The following is a 19,360-nucleotide window of genomic DNA, read 5'->3' as shown; positions in this document are numbered from 1 at the left end:
TTCTCTCTCCTCAGTTCCCTCAGTCAACAGCCATGCACTGGAGAGGGAAGGGGAAGGAGTAGCCTACATGCCATGTGCTGTATGTGTGCTTATGTATATTTGCCCATATTATCTTATTTGACCTGCACTGCTCTCCCAATGTGATTTTCTCTGCTTTGCAGAGGAGGGAGATTTCCTCATTGGCTGTGTACGACCAAGCAAGTGACTTATTCTCTCTGAGGTGCAGAGCTTGGATTCACATACAGTTTGGGTTGGCTCCAAAGAAGGTTCAAACTCTTTTTTTTTTTGAGCTGGAGTCTCACTCGGTCACCCAGGCTGGAGTGCAATGGCGGATCTCAGCTCACTGCAACCTCTGTCTCCTAGGTTCAAGTGATTCTCCTGCCTCAGCCTTTCAAATATTGGCATTACAGGTGCACGCCACCATGCCCAGCAAATTTTTTTTCTTTTTTTTTTTTTTGGTAGAGACGGGGTTTCACCATGTTGGCCAGGCTAGTCTTGAACTCCTGACCTCAGGTGATCCACCCATCTTGGCCTCCCAAAGTGCTGGGATTACAGGCATGAGCCACTGTGCCCGCCTGGTTCAAACCCTTTTCATGGCAGAAGAAGATGATCTTGAATCTACTGAAGCTTCAGCTTCTAGGCCTCTCACTCACACATCACACATTCCTTCCAGAGCCCCAGTTTTGTATTTTACTTTGTATTTTCTTCTTCTTTCTTTTTAGAGATAGGGTGTTATTATGTTGCCCAGGCTGGCCCTGAACTCTAGGGATCAAAAGACTCTCCTGCCTCAGCCTCCTGAGCAGCTGAGAATACAGGCAGCACCATTACATCTGACTTCTATTCTGATGTAGAAGGGTCTGAGAAAGACCCTCCACACCCCCCACTCCAACTCCTGCTGCTTCCTTCAGCTGTTTTAGGTTCAGATCTGCTAGTGTAACCAGCTGCCCAAATTTGCCTGGGACTGAGGGGTTTCCAGGGATGCAGGACTTTCAATGCTAAAACCAGCAAAGCCTAAGGTAACCTGGTATTTGGCGGTCACCCTAGATACAACCCTGTCCTCAAATCACCTAAGGACCTGGGAAAACAGCAGCTCTTTATGGTGGTTCTCACCATGGACCCTGATCTTGACCTTGCAGTATGGAAGGTCTTGGCTTGTCAAGGCTCAGTAGGACTCATCTGCCATGAGACATGGGACCTGACCCTCACTTACAGAGCCTGGGCAGCCTCAGGCACACCAGTCACACTGTCTTCCAAATGCCCGTCACCCCTGAAGGGTGGTGAGCTCCCTGTCTCCTGGGACCTCCTTGCCATGGTACCTGCAGTGCAGTACCACATAGTGTCATCTTAAAGTCAGCTTCTGACAGCTCTTCTTCTGGTGGATTTATGGCAGCTTCTCCAGCTATTGATAAGCGAGAATTGGCGTGTCAGCTGTTAGCCTGGGCATGCATGTGTTGTAAGTCTGCCAATATGCCAACTCAGGCTCACGTGCACATCCATGTCTTTGCCTTTATCTGATCTACCTGAGTGTGCCAACCCACAGTCCCTTGCCCATGTGCATAGACACAAATTCACACAGCTGCTCACAAACATACACAAGAGTTATAGTCCCATTTGTACACACATACACACATATCCAACAATGTGTGAATCCACTCACATCTTATCTCCACGCATAGACACACGTGCATACCTGCACTGACAGCAGTTGGGCCAGGTGACTTCCAGGCTCCATCTGGTACTGAGGATGTGGTGAGCAGCATGTGCCTGCGATTCAGGCTCATTTCCTGACAATATGAGGGGGGAGCCAGGTCGGGTAGACAGTCGCAATAGGTTTCTAGTGCCCTGCTTCTGCCCCAGCAGTCTGAGACAGTGAGGGTGAGACCATTTGACAGACTGACCTCTGTCCTGGTGTGTTGGCATCCTGAGCTGCTCTGTCCAAAGTTTCAACAAAATGATTGCTCACGATAGGAAAGTCCTGGCCCAAGGCAGAGTTTGGTACTGAGCTTGACAGAATAGGGTCAGGGGATCTGAATAGGCTTGGATGTATCAACTGTGTACTGGACATACCCTCTCTAGATACAATTCCGTCAGGTACTGTCCCAGTCCAGGTAAGGTCCTGAAGACTCTCCTCTGCAGGTCTGGGCCAGGATGTCCTCCCCTGGCTGGAAACTGGGAGTCCCGCCCCACTCAGTGAGCTCTGAGGTTAGTAGTTCAGCTGTGGGCTCAGTGTGCCTGGGGAGCCTGGATACCCATCTACTGTGACATGTGGCTTCCCCTGCCCCCTTGCTGTGCCCGGGCCAGGTGTAGAGTGGCTATCTCAGTTTCCTCTGACATGAGGATGGGGTCCCTTTCCTATCTGAGACCTTGCCTATCTCTTTAACTGAGGGACTCTGTGGTGCCACCTGTTTCCTTGTACCCATCTAATAGGTTAGTGGCTCCAGTAACCATTTTGCCCACTCATTCTGACTCCTGGCTTGTATGGGCATTCATACGGGTGGGCAGAGCCTCCTCTAACCCTGACTTTGCCTACAGTAGTCTCCTTTGCTTTCTCAGCCTGCCACATGGCTGAGACTGAGTAGAGGAACACATCAAAGGATCTCTTTCTTCCCAGAAGATTCTTTTTCCTAGCATACCTCTGCCTCCAAGCAGAACTGCTCCCTATTTGGAACCTCAACAGAGCCTTTAAAAGACTTTAGTAGGCCTGACTCGGTGGCTCATGCCTATAATCCCAACACTTTAGGAGGCCGAGGTGGGCAGATCACTTGAGCCCAGGAGTTTAAGACCAGCCTGGGAAACACCGTGAAAACCTGTCTCTACAAAAAAAAAAAAAAAAAAAAAAAAAAAAAAAAAAAAAATTAGCTGGGTGTGATGGCATACACCTGTAGTCCCAGCTACTTGGGAGGCTGAGGTGTAGTCCCAGCTACTTGGGAGGCTGAGGTGAGAGGATTGCTTGAATCTGAGAGGTTGAGGCTGCAGTGAGCCATGATTGCACCACTGCACTCCAGAGTGAGCGCAGTGAGACCTTGTCTAAAAAAAAAGTCTTTTGTGCAGTCTGCTTTTGTGTCTCCCCTAGAAGGCTGTGCACCAGGGAAGAGGCTGAGTTTCATTCATAGTTTGCTTCAGCATTAGCATAGGGTCTGGCACAAAATAGGTCCTCAATGGGTAATTATTGACTGGCTGAACGAATAGAGGAATATATATATATTTTTGTTTGTTTGTTTGTTTGTTTGTTTTGAGACGAAGTCTGGCTCTGCACCCAGGCAGGAGTGCAGTGGCATGATCTCTGCTCACTGCAACCTCCGCCTCCCAAGTTCAAGTGATTCTCCTGCCTCTGCCTCCTGAGTAACTGTGTGCCACCATGGCCGGCTAGTTTTTTTGTATTTTTAGTAGAGATTGGGTTTTGCCATGTTGGCCAGGCTGGTCTTGAACTCCTGACCTCAGGTGATCCGCCTGCCTCAGCCTCCCAAAGTGCTGGGATTAAACGGGTGAGCCACTGCGCCCGGCCAAATAGAGGAATATTGAATGAATGAATGAAGAGGCATCTGACAATGTCATAAGCCTTGGTTCCCGGTCATGGCCTTTGTCATGCTCCTTATCCATCCATCCATAAATTGGCAGAGTGGAGAAGCCAAGGGTATACACTGAAAATCCATGCTGAACCAGGCAGGAAATGGAAATGTGTGAAATGGCTGGGTGAAAGGCAATAGGGAGTGGTGGAGACTATGGCACATATATAAATGTTTACATGCACAGCATATTTAAACATTGAGTTGAAATTCTTGCATTTAATGTGGAAAGGGACTTCTCAGAGTGGACATCTTATAATTTGACACCCTCCCCCCATTCTGGTTGACACTTTGCATGTCCTGAGGGGCAGTGTAGTTTAACTGAGGTTAAAAAGCAGATGGGTGCCAAAGACCTCTTCCTGAGATGGAGCTGTTGATAACCTGAGTCTGCTTATTGCTTCTAGAGCTACCTACATGTTGCCAGGCTCCTAGTAAATGGGCAAGGTCCAGCCACCACTGGGGAGATCAGACTTGAGCCCTGGACACACCTATGCTCCCAAAGCAGGAAAAATGCTGCAGAGTCTGTAAGGGGAGTCACTGTGTGAGCATTAACCGGCCAGGGTATGGCCCCCGCAGGGCTCCAGAAGGTGGTTTACCACGGGCTATTTGCCCAGAGATGAGCTGGGAGGTGTGATAGGCAGTTTCAGCCTCATTTTATGGATGGGGAGAAGTTCTGAGAGGTTATCTGACCTCCCCAATGTCACAAAGTGGGTGTATGACAGAGCCATCATGTGAGCCCAAATCTGATTTTGAAGCTCATGCTCTATCAATTACAGCGGGGTCCCACCCTTTCAGGGAGTATCGACCCCTTTAGTTGCCACGGAGACTGTACACTTCCTCTATTGATGCTACTGTAACCTGCAAACTGGTCTAGATTCTTCAAGACTCAATTAGGGCAACATAAGAATTCCAGTTTTATTATTTTAAAGTCACTTCCAGATGTTTGGGTTTTCTCCCCAAACTGGAAAAGTGTTATTCACAAGAGTTTCCCTTTAGTCTCAACCTCCCTTTGAGAGCGAAATTCTTCCACTGCTGAAAAAGTTATTTATTTATTTTGAGACGGAGTCTTGCTCTGTCGCCCAGGCTGGAGTGCAATGGTGTGATCTCAGCTCACTGCAACCTCTGCCTCCCCGGTTCAAGTGATTGCTGAGAAAGTTTAAAAGTGCATGTTGCAAGTTTTGAAGGTGGTCAGTGAGAGTGGGAAGGAAAGTTTTTGGTATCTCTGAGGGAAGCAGCACCTGCTCCCAAGGAGCCACGGACCTCTAGCTTTGCGTGAGCGTCTCTGTCGGCCTGGGAACCTGCCACAGGCTTTCCCTCCCTCCTCAGAAGGACAGATAGGACAGGCTAGGGCGGAGCAAGTGCAGGGTCCTCTGCTCCTTTTATGTTCTCATCTTTGACCTAGGCTGTTTTGAGGGGCTGGTGTCCCTTGAGGGCCTCGTGTCCTCACAGCTGTGGCTCACAGCTGTGACCCTGCAATCCTGGCCCTCAGAGAAGGTGCTCCTTCTTTCCCACAGGCCAGGCTGTGTCTTCCTCTTATTTGTGTGTATTAAATATCTAGTCTTCCTCACTTACAGCCCTCACAGAGGCTGAGGCTTCCAGAACTCTTGCTCCCCTTCCTTTCCATGGTTCCCAGAAGCAAGTCAGCTTATCAGTGGGGCACACGGCCTTTGAGTCTTCCTTTTGGTTGACTCTCCAGCACGCATGTTTAATTTTTGTGTGTGTGGCTTTTTTCTTTACCTTTTTTGGGGCTTGGGGTGGAGAAGAGACAAGGGAGAGGAGAAGGACACAGAAATGGCCAGCTCTTGCATTGCTGCTAGGTGATTCACTTTGCCAAAGGAGTTCCTGGTGAGGGTCTGACACAGCACGGAGCCGCCACTGTGGACGTGTTAGCCCCGCAGCTAACACATCTCCAAAGCCTCTCCACTGCTGTTCTGAATGCCCCAACGCTGGTCCTTGGTGCCGCACTTGCCACCCCTGCCTCAGCTCCCTTCCTTCTGTCTCTTAATGGCCCTCTCTCATGGCATTCTCTCCTGCTTACTGAATCTCTGGTTCTTCATTGCTCTCAAGATAAACCCCAAACACTGAGGACTTTCCAGGCCCTTCCATAGGCCCCGGCTGAACCCTCTGCTTCCCTTTTGTCCTGATGCTGCTGTCCAGTTGCTGACTTCTCCTTCAACACTCAAGCTTCCTGCCTGGCCCTTGCTGCATCCTTACTTCACCCCAACACACACACACACACACACACACACACACACACACCACACACACATCCCTCACCACACACTCCAACACACACACACAATCACACAGACACCACACACACAAACCACACACCACACAAATGCATCACACACACAACCACATACCACATCACACATCACACCACACACTGCACACAACACACCACACACCACATTACACACATACACCACACACACCACACATCACACATGCCACACACACATCATACATACCACAAACAATATCCACAAACCACACATCCACCATATACCACACATACACCACACACACACCACACACACACCACACACACACAAACCACATGCCCCAACACACACATACATCACACACCACACACCCTACGCACACACACACACCACACACACAAACCACACACCATACAAGTGCATCAGTCACACCACACACCATACACATCACACACACCACACATACAACCACACACCACATATCACACACACCACACACAACACATACCACATTACACACATACACCACGCACACCACACATCACACATGCCACACACACACCATACATACCACAAACCACACATCCATCATCCATCACACATCAACACACATCACACACACTGTATAAACTACACACATGCTACAGACATACATATGGCACACACACCACAAAGTCCATACCCTCACACACACACCACACATCACACACACTTCACATATACACATGTACAAATCCTGTACCCTCACATACACATCGCACACACACACATTACACACCGTACACACACACCATTCACCACATACACCACACAACCCCCCCCCACCTCCCATGTCCTCCACACCCCTCTGCACACCACACACACACACACACACACATCTTGCGCCCCTTCTCTGGCTGGTGTCTTCTGCTGAGTTTGAGCAGTCTTTTCATTCCTTCCTCATCTTCCACTCTTTCTCCTGCAGTCCCAGCCCTCTGTTCTTACCTGGGTGCCCACAGCTTTGTGGAGAAATGATTGCCTCTCAGACATCAGGGGACCATATTTGTTCATCTCTGAGCCTCAGAACGCAGCTCAGGGCCTGACAATTACTACCCCGGGATAGATGAACATGGAGATTAAAGGACCTGCTCAGAGGGCAAATAGTCAGGTGTGAAGTGCAGCAAAGGGCCTGGCGCACAGAGGGGCTGGGTTCAGGGAAGTCCCCGCCTCACCTGCCCCACTCGGAAGGGGTATTTATGCCCGTGGTGAACAGAACACTGCAGAGCCTGGGAACGAGTGAGTGAGCGAGTGAGTGAGCCTGGGAGTGGAACATATGGAAGAGATGTGAAAAGTCTGGCCTGTGACAAGACAAAGACTCTGACTTGCCCTGGGCACCACTGTCCCCAGAGCCCTGGGCACCACTGTCCCCAGAGCCCTGGGCCAGGGAATCTCTGCCCATCAGCCCAGAGGGGGCCTGGCGTTCTCCTACGCAGCTGTGGAGGGTGCAGCGGTGGGGCTTCTCACCTTGCTGTGAGAATCGGATTAGAAGGGAGCTTTGTTGAGAGATAAGCTGCTCAGACCTGAGCCATCTGTGCCCTCTGAGCCTCAGCCCTGCAGCATTGTGTTCACTGTGGGCATAAACACCCTCCCCCAGGATGGGGAAGGAGAGGCAAGGATTTCCCTGAACCAAGTCCCTCTGTGTGCCAGGCCCTTTGTGGGCACTTCACACCTGGCTATTTGCCCTCTGAGTAGGTCCTGTAATCTCAGTTTTCTAGAAGAGACCCAACATGCCCAGCTCACACAGAACACCCTTAGCAGGGCAGGGCTTCGAGCCCTGTTGTGCCGGACCCAGGGCCTCTGTCCCTGCTCCTCACACAGTTACATAGTGTTGTGACAAAGAGTGGCCTGCAGGGAAGGCTTTAGGGACAGGTTTCTTCTAGCAGAAAGTTATGCCTCAGGCTCTATCACTGACCTTGTCAAACAAGGATGTGTCTGCATTGAGTTTATTTATTTATTTATTACTTGTTTGTTTGGATGCTCTTTCCAGCAGACTCATGTCAGGAGGCTAGGAAGGGATTCCTTGGGGACCACTGGATGCTGGTAGTTAAATGCCAGGAGGCTGAATGGACCTGAAGATGGAGGAGACTCTGCAGTCTTGGTCAGCCACCCTTGGGTGCTTGCCACCCTGCACTCTAGCAGGATTGATGGTCTCTGGATTTGTAGCTGTGACCGGTCATGGTGGAATGCTCGGTGGTTTGCACTGGAGAGGCCCACATGGTGGCGACTGAGGCCCTGTGGGGTGAGGTTGGCTCATGATAGCTCTGAAAGTTGATGGCACAATTGAGACAAGGACGTGGAGTTCTGGAACTTTCCCAGGGTCCTTGCAGCCCGAGATGAAGCCCTCCAACATTGCAGCTCACTGCTGTGAAGGCTGAAAGGGGAGACAGGAGGCTGCTGGGTACCTCAGGTGCCAGGCATGAGGTTCTCCGCTGTCTGGAGTCTTGCTTTGGGAGTGCTACACCTGTGGGAGTGCCCCAGGCACCACCCAAAGGCGGGGCTCTGGCTCAAGCTTGCATGGTTTACAGAGCCTCACATGATGTCCTGGGAGGAGCAATGAGTAGACAAGAGGGACAAGGACAGGAAGATGGCGAGGTCAGAGCCAGGTTGTGGGGAGAGAGAGGAAAACACAATTAAGTTGCATTTTCAAACACATTTAAAAAAAAATTTCAAAGCAAGAATTAGATCTTATGCTTTTCCCTGGAGGCCCAGAAGGGGCTTTTCGTGGCAAACAAGACCAGCCCAGATTATTTCAGTCCCATCAGAGGGAACCTAATTGATTGGTAGAAGAGGAAGAGAAGGTGGCTGATCCTAAGTGGAGCCCACCTAAGCTGCCTTAGGTCTGGGAGGCCTGTTTCTAATGACTCTGGTAGGAGGGTCTGCACATGGATGTGTGCCCTTGGGCCCTCTGGCTGTCTCCTTCCAGATGGCACATGCCAGGCAACGTGTCCCAAAACTACATTTGCATCTTTTGACAAACCAGTCCCATTTATGGGAGGAATCATCCACAAGAAAGAAAAAGCTGCATGCATTAAACTATTTTTATAGTTTTTTTTTTTTTTTTTCAAGAAAGATGGGAGTCTCCTTATGTCGCCTAGGCTAGTCACGAACTCCTGGCCTCAAGCTATCCTCCTGCCTCAGCCTCCCAAAGTACTGGGATTACAGGCATGAGCCACCATGCCTGGCCCATAGTTTTGTTTTTAATTGCAGAAAAAAAAGTGTCTGGAAACAATCTGAATATCCTATAATAGAGAAATTGTTAATTAGTAATGATAATTTGGCCAGGTGTAGTGGCTCACACCTGTAATCCTAGCGGTTTGGGAGGCTAAAACTGGTGGATCACTTAAGCCCAGGGGTTCAAGAACAGCCTGCGCAACATGATGAAATGCCGTCTCTACCAAAAATACAAAAATTTGCCAGGCATGGTGGCGCACGCCTGTGGTCCTAGCTACTCAGGAGGCTGAGGTGGGAGGATCACCTGAGCCTGGGAGGTGAGGCTGTGGTGAGCCATAATTGAGCCACCGCACTCCAGCCTGGGTGACAAAGTGAAACCTTGTCTCAAAAAAAAAATAAATAATAAACAATAAAATAAAAAATTAATGATAATTCATGATGATGGAAATGTTTCATGGGGACAAAACCCTGTGGTTATGAACACTGCACAGCAACAAGAAGAAAAATGATTCCGACTTAAGTTTAAAAATTAAAAAATGAGATATAATTAATTAAAAATAAAACCAGGTAAACACGTTTGTACGAAAAACAAAGGACACACAAATGAATGAGAAGGGTTACTAAGTTATGGTCATGAGATTATTCTTTCTCCTTCTGTTTTCAGATTATTACTATATGAAATGTGGTGTGGTAATTAAGATCATGAAATCTGGAGTGAGCCAGATTATTTAAATTCAAAGCCTGAATCTATCACTTACTTAGTAGCTGTGGGACCTTCAACAAGTTACTTAACCTTTCTGTGCTTGGTGCCTCATTTGTAGAAGTGAGAATAGTAATAGTATCTAACTTTTAGGATTATTGTAAGGATCAAATGAGTTAGCAGATGTAAGTGCCACCCACACCTAGTAATTGCTATATAAGCACTAGCTATACAAAGAAATAAATTTAATTATAATTCATCCATCCACTCATGTCTTAACCACAAATAAGTGATAATATTGGTGTGTTTTTCTGTTTTTTTTTTTCTATTGGTAAGTGCTTTGATCTTCCCATAGTGATAATCCTAGTAATATATAGCGTAACTTACTCTTTTCCATTCCATAACTTACCATTTCATGAGCATTTTCCACCAGCATTTCTGGTGGAGACACATGATTTCCTGACCCCTGATCCTCCTCCACCTCCTTTCCTCACCTCAGATCCCAAGACTATCTTCTCTGGCTCCTACAATAAATTTTGTGGTTGACTGGTTGCAAATATGGTTGCAATTCTCCCTCTCTCCTTTGCAGTTTCTCCCATCATGATAGGGAGTCTATTTGCCTGCTCCTAAAATCTGGACTGGACTTGCAACTTGTTTTGTCCAGAATGAATGTGGTAGAGATGAAGGAGGGAAGCTCAGAGCCTGTACCTCAAGAGGCCTTACGTGTTTCCATTTACATAAGTGGAACTCTGCAGACACCACGTGAACAGTCTGGGCTCGCCTGCGAAGAGCATGAAAGACCACATGGAGGAGAGGCTAGTTGTTCCAACCGAGACCATTCTAGACTCACAGACATCAAAAATATGAGAGACCCCAGCCAAGATCAGCAGAACTGCCTATCCAAATCTTAGAAGAATGAGTCCAGCCAAGACTAGAAGAAATATCCAGCTGACCTGTAGACTCATTGAAAAGAATAAACACTGCTTTGGGTCACTAAAATTGGGAGTGGGTTGTTCTGCAGCTATGGCTAACAGATATAATCACAAGGAGCAAGACCATGGGTCTGAGGCCCCTTTCACTGAGCCACTGGGAAGGATGGGCTGCCAGCCCTCTTCACCTCCTCCTTTCCAGGGTCTATTTTCTGGGCCCTCATGTCCATCCTGGTATCATCGTTGCTGAAAACCTCATATCCTCAACGGGTAACATTTGTTCATGCAGTCCGAGCTCCTTCCTGAAGGCAGAGACAACCCTATGGCGAGGGAGGAATCTCTCTGTGCCCCTTCCAGCCTGAGTCTCCCACTATGGGCTCAGCCATTTTGCTGGGTTTCAAAAACAGTGAGGGGGCAAGGAGCTCTCAGGACCTGGGCAGCCTCTCAGGCTCCAGACTTCCCACAGGACCTCCCCAGTCTTCCCAAATAGCTTCACCGTGGCCCCAGGATGCGTAGAAAGAAGGTGGCCTGAATGAAGCTTCAGGACCACAGTACTTCCTGGCTGGTGGGGCCTTCACAGCCATCAGTCTGACCCCAGCTTAAGCCTGGGCAGCCCCTGGGCTTGGGGATAGTGCTTGACACCCGTAAAGAGCCAATAGAGTCAGCACATTGAAACTTCCTTTAAAAGAACTGGGCCAGATGCAGTGGCTCACGCCTGTAATCCCAGCGCTTTAGCACTTTGGGAGGCCAAGGCAGGAGGGTTGCTTGAGGCCAGGAGTTCAAGACCAGCCTGGGCATCATAGTAAGACGCTGTCTTTGCAAAAATAGAAAAGTTAGCTGAGTGTGATGGCACGCATCTGTAGTCCCAGCTACTGGGGAGGCTGAAGCGGATCACTTGAGCCCAGGAGTTTGAGGCTGCAGTGAGCTATGATTGTGCCACTGCACTCCAGCCTGGGTGACTGAGCAAGATCCTGTTTCTTAAAAAACAACAACAAAAAGACTTGCTGCTATACAGATTGCTATAAATTTTCTAAATACTCTTTTAGGCTGGGCATGGTGGCTCACGCCTGTAATCCCAGCACTTTGGGAGGCTGAGGTGGGTGGATCACGAGGTCAATAGATAGAGACCAGTCAGGTCAACATGGTGAAACCCTGCCTCTACTTAAAAAAAAAAAAAAAAATTTAATTTTTTAAAAAAGCCCTTCTCCCTCTCCCTCTCCCTCTCCCTCTCCCTCCTCTTTGCACGGTCTCCCTCTGATGCTGAGCCCAGCCCTCTCCCTCTCCCTCCTCTTTGCACGGTCTCCCTCTGATGCTGAGCCCAGGCCTCTCCCTCTCCCTCCTCTTTGCACGGTCTCCCTCTGATGCTGAGCCAAGGCTGGACTGTACTGCCGCCGTCTTGGCTCACTGCAACCTCCCTGCCTGATTCTCCTGCCTCAGCCTGCCAAGTGCCTGGGATTGCAGGCGCGTGCTGCCACACCTGACTGGTTTTCGTATTTTTTGGTGGAGACGGGGTTTCGCCATGTTGGCCGGGCTTGTCTCCAACTCCTGACCACGAGTGATCTGCCAGCCTCGGCCTCCCGAGGTGCCGGGATTGCAGACGGAGTCTCGTTCACTCAGTGCTCAATGTTGCCCAGGCTGGAGTGCAGTGGCATGATCTCAGCTCGCTACAACCTCCACCTCCCAGCCGCCTGCCTTGGCCTCCCAAAGTGCTGAGATTGCAGCCTCTGCCCGGCCGCCACCCCGTCTAGGAAGTGAGGAACGTCTCTGCCTGGCCACCCATCGTCTGGGATGTGAGGAGCCCCTCTGCCCGGCTGCCCAGTCTGGGAAGTGAGGAGTGCCTCTTCCCGGCCGTCATCCCGTCTAGGAAGTGAGGAGCGTCTCTGCCCAGCCACCCATCATCTGGGATGTGGGGAGCGCCTCTGCCCCACCGCCCCATCTGAGTTGTGAAGAGCGCCTCTGCCCGGCCGCGACCCCGTCTGGGAACTGAGGAGCCCCTCTGCCCGGCCGCCACCCCGTCTGGGAGGTGTACCCAACAGCTCATTGAGAACAGGCCATGATGACAATGGCGGTTTTGTCTAATAGGAAAGGGGGAAATGTGGGGAAAAGAAAGAGAGATCAGATTGTTATTGTGTCTGTGTAGAAAGAAGTAGACATAGGAGACTCCATTTTGTTCTGTACTAGGAAAAATTCTTCTGCCTTGGGATGCTGTTAATCTATAACCTTACCCCCAACCCTGTGCTCTCTGAAACATGTGCTGTGTCCACTAAGGGTTAAATGGATTAAGGGCGGTGCAAGATGTGCTTTGTTAAACAGATGCTTGAAGGCAGCATACTCGTTAAGAGTCATCACCACTCCCTAATCTCAAGTACCCAGGGACACAAACACTGCGGAAGGTGGCAAGGCCCTCTGCCTAGGAAAACCAGAGACCTTTGTTCACATGTTTATCTGCTGACCTTCCCTCCACTATTGTCCTATGACCCTGCCAAATCCCCCTCTCCAAGAAACACCCAAGAATGATCAATAAATACTAAAAAAAAAAAAAAAGCCTTTTTAAAGCAAATTGGTAAATGTAATAAATTCAGCAAATCAGCCATTTAGCATGTTGATTTTTGAAGATGTTTTTGTCCCATTGACCCAGAGTCCTGGGCCTTCCACATATTGTCATCCCCATGGGCCTACCACAGTGCTGAGATATAAAGCAGTACTCAAGAAAGACACCATAGAACGAGGAGTAGTCAGTATTCAGCAAGTGTGTGTCATAGCTGGTGTTGTTGGCTCAGGAACACCCTCTAGGCAACTCTGAGTTAATTTGCATTTCTACAGACAGATGCACGGGCTTTGTCATACATCAGTGAACTGGAGCACACGAGGCCAGATTTCTGGAGCCTGGCACACTCAGCAATCCTGGCGTTGCTTACACAACACCCTGGGAACACTGATTCATCTCCCTCCTTGCTGAATCCCAGCATCAGTCCATAAGACAGAAGGTGGAACCACCAAGCCTGGACAAGAACGTGCAGGCTTTGGTTGTCGGTGTTGGAGTTGCTCATCTCCTGTGCCAGCAGCCCTGGCAGGGCTGGGTCTGTCTCCATAGCAACAGCAGGACATGTTTACGGGGCACCATGTGGCAGGCTTGATGCCAAGTCCTGTATAGACATGAACCCATCGACGGCTCATCATGGTCCAGTGAGGCAGATTCTATTATAACTCCCTCTTCACAGAGGGGGAGACTGAGGCTTAGCAGTGCTGGGTGACTTGCTCCAAGGCACAGCCAGTGGGTGGTGGAGCTGAGATCCCAGCCCAGATGGCTATTTCCTTCTGGGAAGTCAGCCGTCTGGCTTGCACGCGCATGTCTTCATACACCGGCTACAGAACACTTTCTGTCCACAGGGGAAGCAGTTTGTTGTAGTGGAAAGAGGTGGAAAGATCCTAGTTTCTGACTCTGCCTCAGTTTCTTTCTCAGTCTCAGTTTCCCAATCTATATAATGGTGACGAGACCTCCCCACGGTGGTCTCAAGGATTTAAATGAGATCACATGGCAAGGACCCAATACATATGTTTGTTTTGCTCTTCTTGTTCTAAGTTGTTCATAAATTTCAACAATGGAATTTTAAAAATATACACACAGAAAGAAATCCAGTCTCAGCACAGAAGCCACACACCTAGATTTATTCTCCAGAAGTAACAAAACTGAAAAAACGGATGCACGTGTACTTGCACGGGAGTTAACATGGCCACGTCTCCTATGCACTGTGTGTGCTTGGGTGTATATCTGTCCATCTGTGTGTGTAGTGTGTGTGTGCTGTGTGTAGCATAGGAGTGTAGTGTGTGTAGTTGTGTAGTGTGTGTGTGTAATTGCTTGTCCATGTGTAGTGTCTGTGAGTGTATTGTGGTGTGTGTCTGTGTGTGCATGTATTTGTGTGTGTGTCTGTGTGTATAGTTGTGTAGTGTTGTGTATTTGTGTGTATGTATTTATGTGTGTTTGTGTGTATAGTTGTGTGGTATGTGTTTGTGTGTAGATGTACTTGTGTATGTGTCTGTGTCTGGTATACGTGTGTGTGCTGTGTGCATGTGTCTATGTGTGTATGATTGTGTGTAGTGTGTATGTGCATGTAGTGTGTTTGTGTGTATAGTGTGTGTCTGTTTGTGTAGTTGTGTAGTGTGTATGTGTCCGTGTGTTTGTATGTATAGTGCGTGGTGTGTGTGTGTAGAGTGCATGTAGTATGTGTCTGTGTGTGTAGTTGTGTGGTGTGTGTTTGTGCTGTGTATATGTGTCTAGGTGTGTATCACTATACCGTGTGTTGTGTGTATATGCTGTGTTTCTGTGTGTAGTTGTGTAGCGTGTATGTGTCTGTGTGTCTGTAGTGTGTGGTGTGAGTCTGTGTGCGCATGTATTTGTGTGTGTCTGTGTGTGTGGTTGTGTGGTGTGTATCTACTTATGTGTGTAGGTATTTGTGTTTATGTGTTTTGGTTTGTTGTGTGTGTGTCTGTGGTGGGGGCTCACACACCCCCTCAACTTCCTGCCTCTGAGCAGTTGGTGCAGGAGAGGGGAAGTGGAGGGGGAGGGTGTGAGCTCTTGGGGCTCGCCTCCACCTCTCTCTGGAAGGTTTTCACCTTCTTTCACAGAACCAGGGGCCTGGGGGAGCAGAGCCACAGCCTGCGCTCACCCTGCATCCTGCCTGGGCTGGCACCTCACACTGGTTCAGCAAGAGGTGTGTGAGAGCTGGTTATTTTTATCCTGGCCGGCTGGGTGTGATGCCAGTTTGGAAGAAAGGGCTGTCAGCATCTCCGGGAGAAGGTCTGCGGCTGGAGTCATGCTGTCTTGCTTCCTCCCTCTATCCCTCTCCTGCATCACAGCTGAGCATCCCCTTGGTAGCTGGGAAAGGCATGGAGGCTCCGGCGCTGGTCATGGACCCCATGGGCCATGGCCGCAGAGGAGCAAGTGGGGCCGGGACCTCCTCAGCCTCTTGAGAGTGGGCACTGGGGCTGCAGAGTTCAGGCAGGAGCCCCAGGTTGGTGTCAGGCTGTCTGACTCAGGGTCCACAGTCTCCCCTTGGGGATCTGCCTGCCCTACCCAAGCTCCAGCAGCCTGACCCTTCCACCTGGGCTGGGCAACTCCAGTGAATATCTGCTCTGGGCCTGCAGCCCCTGTGCAGGGAACTGGGTGCCCGCAGCCCTCCTGAGCTTGGGCCTGTCCGCCACAGGCCTCCCAGTGTCCCCAGGCCTCAGGGAGAGGGCAGCCTTGCTCTTCTGGGCCTCGTTCTGGTCATGCAGCCTGGATGCTGCCTGCTGGCATCTCTGGGGCTGCCTTATCTCCTGCCAAGCTATGGCTCTCTGGACCCTCAGGCCCACTCCCCTGCTGGTGACCTGCATGCTGATCTGTGCCCCAGGTCCACAGGGTTCACAGGCAGCTTTGGTCCTTAGCTTCTGGGAGTACCTCTCAAGCCCTGCTACCATCTGTCTTCCATACCCCACTCTTGCCCTTCACCCTTGCTGCCTCCTCTGCCTGCATCCCCCACCTCCACAGTCCTCAGCCAGGCTCCTGGCTCATAAATGAGCCAGGTCTCATAAATGTCACCTCCTCAGACACCTCCCACCTAAAGTAAGTGTGTTTCCACACAACATCTTCTAATTGCATCCTGCTTTTTTTCCATGGCAGAATGTATTCAGTTTAAAATGATTAATTTGTTGACTTTTGGGGGGGAGTCAACAAATTAATCAACAAAACAAAGATGTCCTCCCAGCCAGAGCCTGATGCCAGCCATGGGTGGGGGCTGATCAGTGTGTGTGGCTGGTCCCATGGCCACTGTAGAACTTCTGCCCCACAGTCTGGACGAGGTGGGGGTACTTACCTTTCAGGTTTGTTGAGTTGGGGCTAGGGACTCGGTGGCAGCAGAGCCTGGTTCTCCTGCCTGACCAGGCCTTGGCAGGACGCCTCTTCCCTGAGGGTGGACACAAAGGAAGAGAGACTGTCTTTAGTGGGCTTGTCTGTGAGTGAGCTTCCCCTTCCAAGGCACAGGGCTCAGGAATATTTATCCAGAGAAACTCAGGATGAGCCAGGCTACGAGAGGTCCTAGGGAAAGAGTGGGCCTTGTTGTGATTTACTTTTCAGAAATAACAATGTTGGGAGACACATGGCCCCAAAACACATCCTTTTCAGATTCCTGTCCAATAAGTAGTTTCTTTGACATAATAATTCTCCCCTTGGCAATCTAGCCTAAGAAAATAAGCCTGAGCTGGGTGTGGTGGCTCATGCCTGTAATCCTAGCTCTTTGGGAGGCTGAGGTGGGCGGATCACTTGAGGTCGAGTGTTCGAGACCAGCCTGACCAACATGGAGAAACCCCATCTCTACTAAAAATACAAAATCAGCCTGGCATGTTGGTGCATGCCTGTAATCCCAGCTACTCAGGAGGTTGAGGCAGGAGAATCACTTGAACCCGGGAGGCGGAGGTTGTGGTGAGCCAAGAGCATGCCATTACACTCCAGCCTGGACAACAAGAGCAAAAACTTCGTCTCAAAAAAATAAAAAAAAGAAAAAAAGAAAAAAAGCCTGAATAAAGGACATACTTTATGTACATATATACCTTTTACCACATAATTAAAATGTGCAAAGTAGGCCAGGTGTGGTGGCTCATGCCTGTGATCCTAGCACTCTGGGAGGCCAAGGTGGGAGGATGGCTTGAGTCCAGAAGTTCAAGACCAGCCTGGGCAACTTAGAGAGACCTCGTCTCTGCAAAAAATTTTAAAAATTAGCAGGGCATTGTGGTGCGCACCTGTTTTCCCAGCTACTGGAAAACCTGAGGTGCGAGTATTGCTTGAGCCCTGGAAGTCAAGCCTGCACTGAGCCGTGGTCATGCCACTGCACTCCGACCTGGGCAAGAGAGCAAGATCTTGCTTCAAAAAAGGAAAAGCACACAATTGTGAACTATCTAAATGTCTAAGCATGTAAATTCATCATAGTACGTTCACTTGTAGCAAGTTATACCTGAAAATATTAGTTGATTAATGCTACTTCAAGAGTTTGCTACAGATAGTCCTAAATGGATAGGAAACTTTATGGGGGAAGGTATCTATCCTCATTTAATTGTCACTAGGGTATCACTGGCAACCTCCAACATGTCCAAAAATAGAGGTCTGATAAATTGCATGTCACGGGCTGTGTTTATGAGGAATTCTAATCACTGTTTTCCTTATTATATATGTGGCACATTTTCATCGCAGAAACTTTGTAAAACAAACACTTGTTATAATCCCACTACTCAGAGATGGCTGCTGCTGACACTGGGTTGTAAATGCTTCCAGAATATCTTCAATCATAAGCATTTTGGGTGATTATAACAATATATATAGTGATAAATAAAAAAGATATAACCTTGAACATATAGGTACATCAATTAATTTTTAAAAATTCTACATGCAAGGAAATAAACAAAATGTTGAACATGGCTACTCTTGAATCATGGAATTGAGTGTTTTTCTTCTCTTTATATATTTCTATAGCTCCAGCTCCCCCCACCCAAAAGTTTGAGTAACCATAACCACTAAAACAAAAAATAAATGTAGGCAGTTTCTAGAGGGTTAGACAAGAGAAAAATGGATTGAAACACTCAGCTATCTGAATCAAGAAAGGCAGCCAGGCATGGTGGCTCACGCCTGTAATCCCAGCACTTTGGGAGGCCGAGGTGGGAGGATTACGAGGTTAGGAGTTCAAGACCAGCCTGGCCAAGATGGTGAAACCTGTCTGTACTAAAAATACAAAAATTAGCTGGGCTTGGTGGTGGGCACCTGTAATCTCAGCTACTTGGGAGGCTGAGGCAGAGAATTGCTTGAACCCAGGAGGCGGAGATTGCAGTGAGCTGAGATAGCGCCACTGCACTCCAGCCTGGGTGACAGAGCAAGACTCCATCTCAAAAAAAAAAAAAAAAAGAAAAAAGAAAAAAGGGCAAGAGAGCTAAATATTCATATCTATAGAGGTAAAAAGATGGTGTCCCCTTCTAAACATGCATAAACATACCCCACCTCCCTACCACACACACCTTCATTTCAGCTGCTCATGGATATTTTCTGGGCATGAGGTTTTGGGATGTTCAGACTTAGATGGTCTACTAATTAATGTATTCATTTGCCCAACACTAATTTACTCTGTTCCAAGCATGACACAAGTACAAGAGAATGGCTCCAGAAATTCTAGATAGGTAGGACTTAAGCACAGTAATCTAGCTGAGAGGTTGTATGTGTGTTTGCATGGCGAACACACCACTTTACTTAGGCTGGGTATGTATTTGGGGGTGCAGGGGCTGTGAATGGAACCCCCAAGCCACCTGCAGGCAGTCCTGAGCCCCAAACCTATAGGTTCAGGAGAAAGAGCCCATCTTTCCGGGGCTCAGGACTGCCTGCCAAGGCCTGCCCGCCAAGGCCTGCCCTCCAACAAATCCTGATCAGAGTCTTCCCAGATGCTGAAATCCTGCTCAGGGATCTGCACCCTGGGGGCTGCCCTACCTTCTGTGGAGAAGATGGAGAAGCAGAGAAGCAGGATACAGAGCAGGCTGGAAAGGACTAGAAGCCTCATGGTGAGAAGGCAGATTTTCACGTCCTGGGAAGGGAGCTGTGCTGCAGAAGTCCTCCCTTGGGGCCACCTTGGACATTTATAGAGTCATAGAGAGGTGTTTCCCAATGGGCAGAGCCCTAGTAGCCTTGCAATTCTCCTAAAGGGTAAAGTCAGCCCC

The 19,360-nt window shown here is 49.1% G+C and overlaps 1 protein-coding gene across 2 annotated transcripts, besides 2 other annotated features; it reads right to left on the bottom strand.

Moving 5' to 3' along the window:
• On the bottom strand, positions 7,761-19,254 carry GPR15LG (G protein-coupled receptor 15 ligand). 2 transcript variants are annotated; one of them, NM_207373.3, is made up of 3 exons: positions 19,134-19,254; positions 16,486-16,575; positions 7,761-8,374 (listed from the first exon to the last, which is right to left on the bottom strand). In NM_207373.3, exons 1-3 carry the CDS (start codon positions 19,201-19,203, stop codon positions 8,289-8,291), a joined length of 246 nt encoding a protein of 81 aa, NP_997256.1. In that variant the 5' UTR covers positions 19,204-19,254; the 3' UTR covers positions 7,761-8,288. The 2 variants fall into 2 exon arrangements, with proteins under 2 accessions (NP_997256.1, XP_005269868.1); XM_005269811.4 differs by having other exon boundaries at positions 7,771-8,204.
• Positions 12,408-13,228: an enhancer, noted in NCBI's record as "NANOG-H3K27ac-H3K4me1 hESC enhancer chr10:85939583-85940403 (GRCh37/hg19 assembly coordinates)". NCBI's record gives its function as "activates a minimal SCP1, AML or CMV promoter by ChIP-STARR-seq in naive H9 embryonic stem cells {active_cell/tissue: H9 hESC(naive)}" and the evidence as "EXISTENCE:reporter gene assay evidence [ECO:0000049][PMID:30033119]".
• Positions 15,727-16,228: an enhancer, noted in NCBI's record as "H3K4me1 hESC enhancer chr10:85936583-85937084 (GRCh37/hg19 assembly coordinates)". NCBI's record gives its function as "activates a minimal SCP1, AML or CMV promoter by ChIP-STARR-seq in naive H9 embryonic stem cells {active_cell/tissue: H9 hESC(naive)}" and the evidence as "EXISTENCE:reporter gene assay evidence [ECO:0000049][PMID:30033119]".
• Positions 19,255-19,360: the final 106 nt, after the last annotated feature.

Source organism: Homo sapiens, chromosome 10 (assembly GCF_000001405.40).
Source record: "Homo sapiens chromosome 10, GRCh38.p14 Primary Assembly".
NCBI lineage: Eukaryota > Metazoa > Chordata > Mammalia > Primates > Hominidae > Homo > Homo sapiens.
This window is presented reverse-complemented; position numbering and strand designations above follow the sequence as displayed.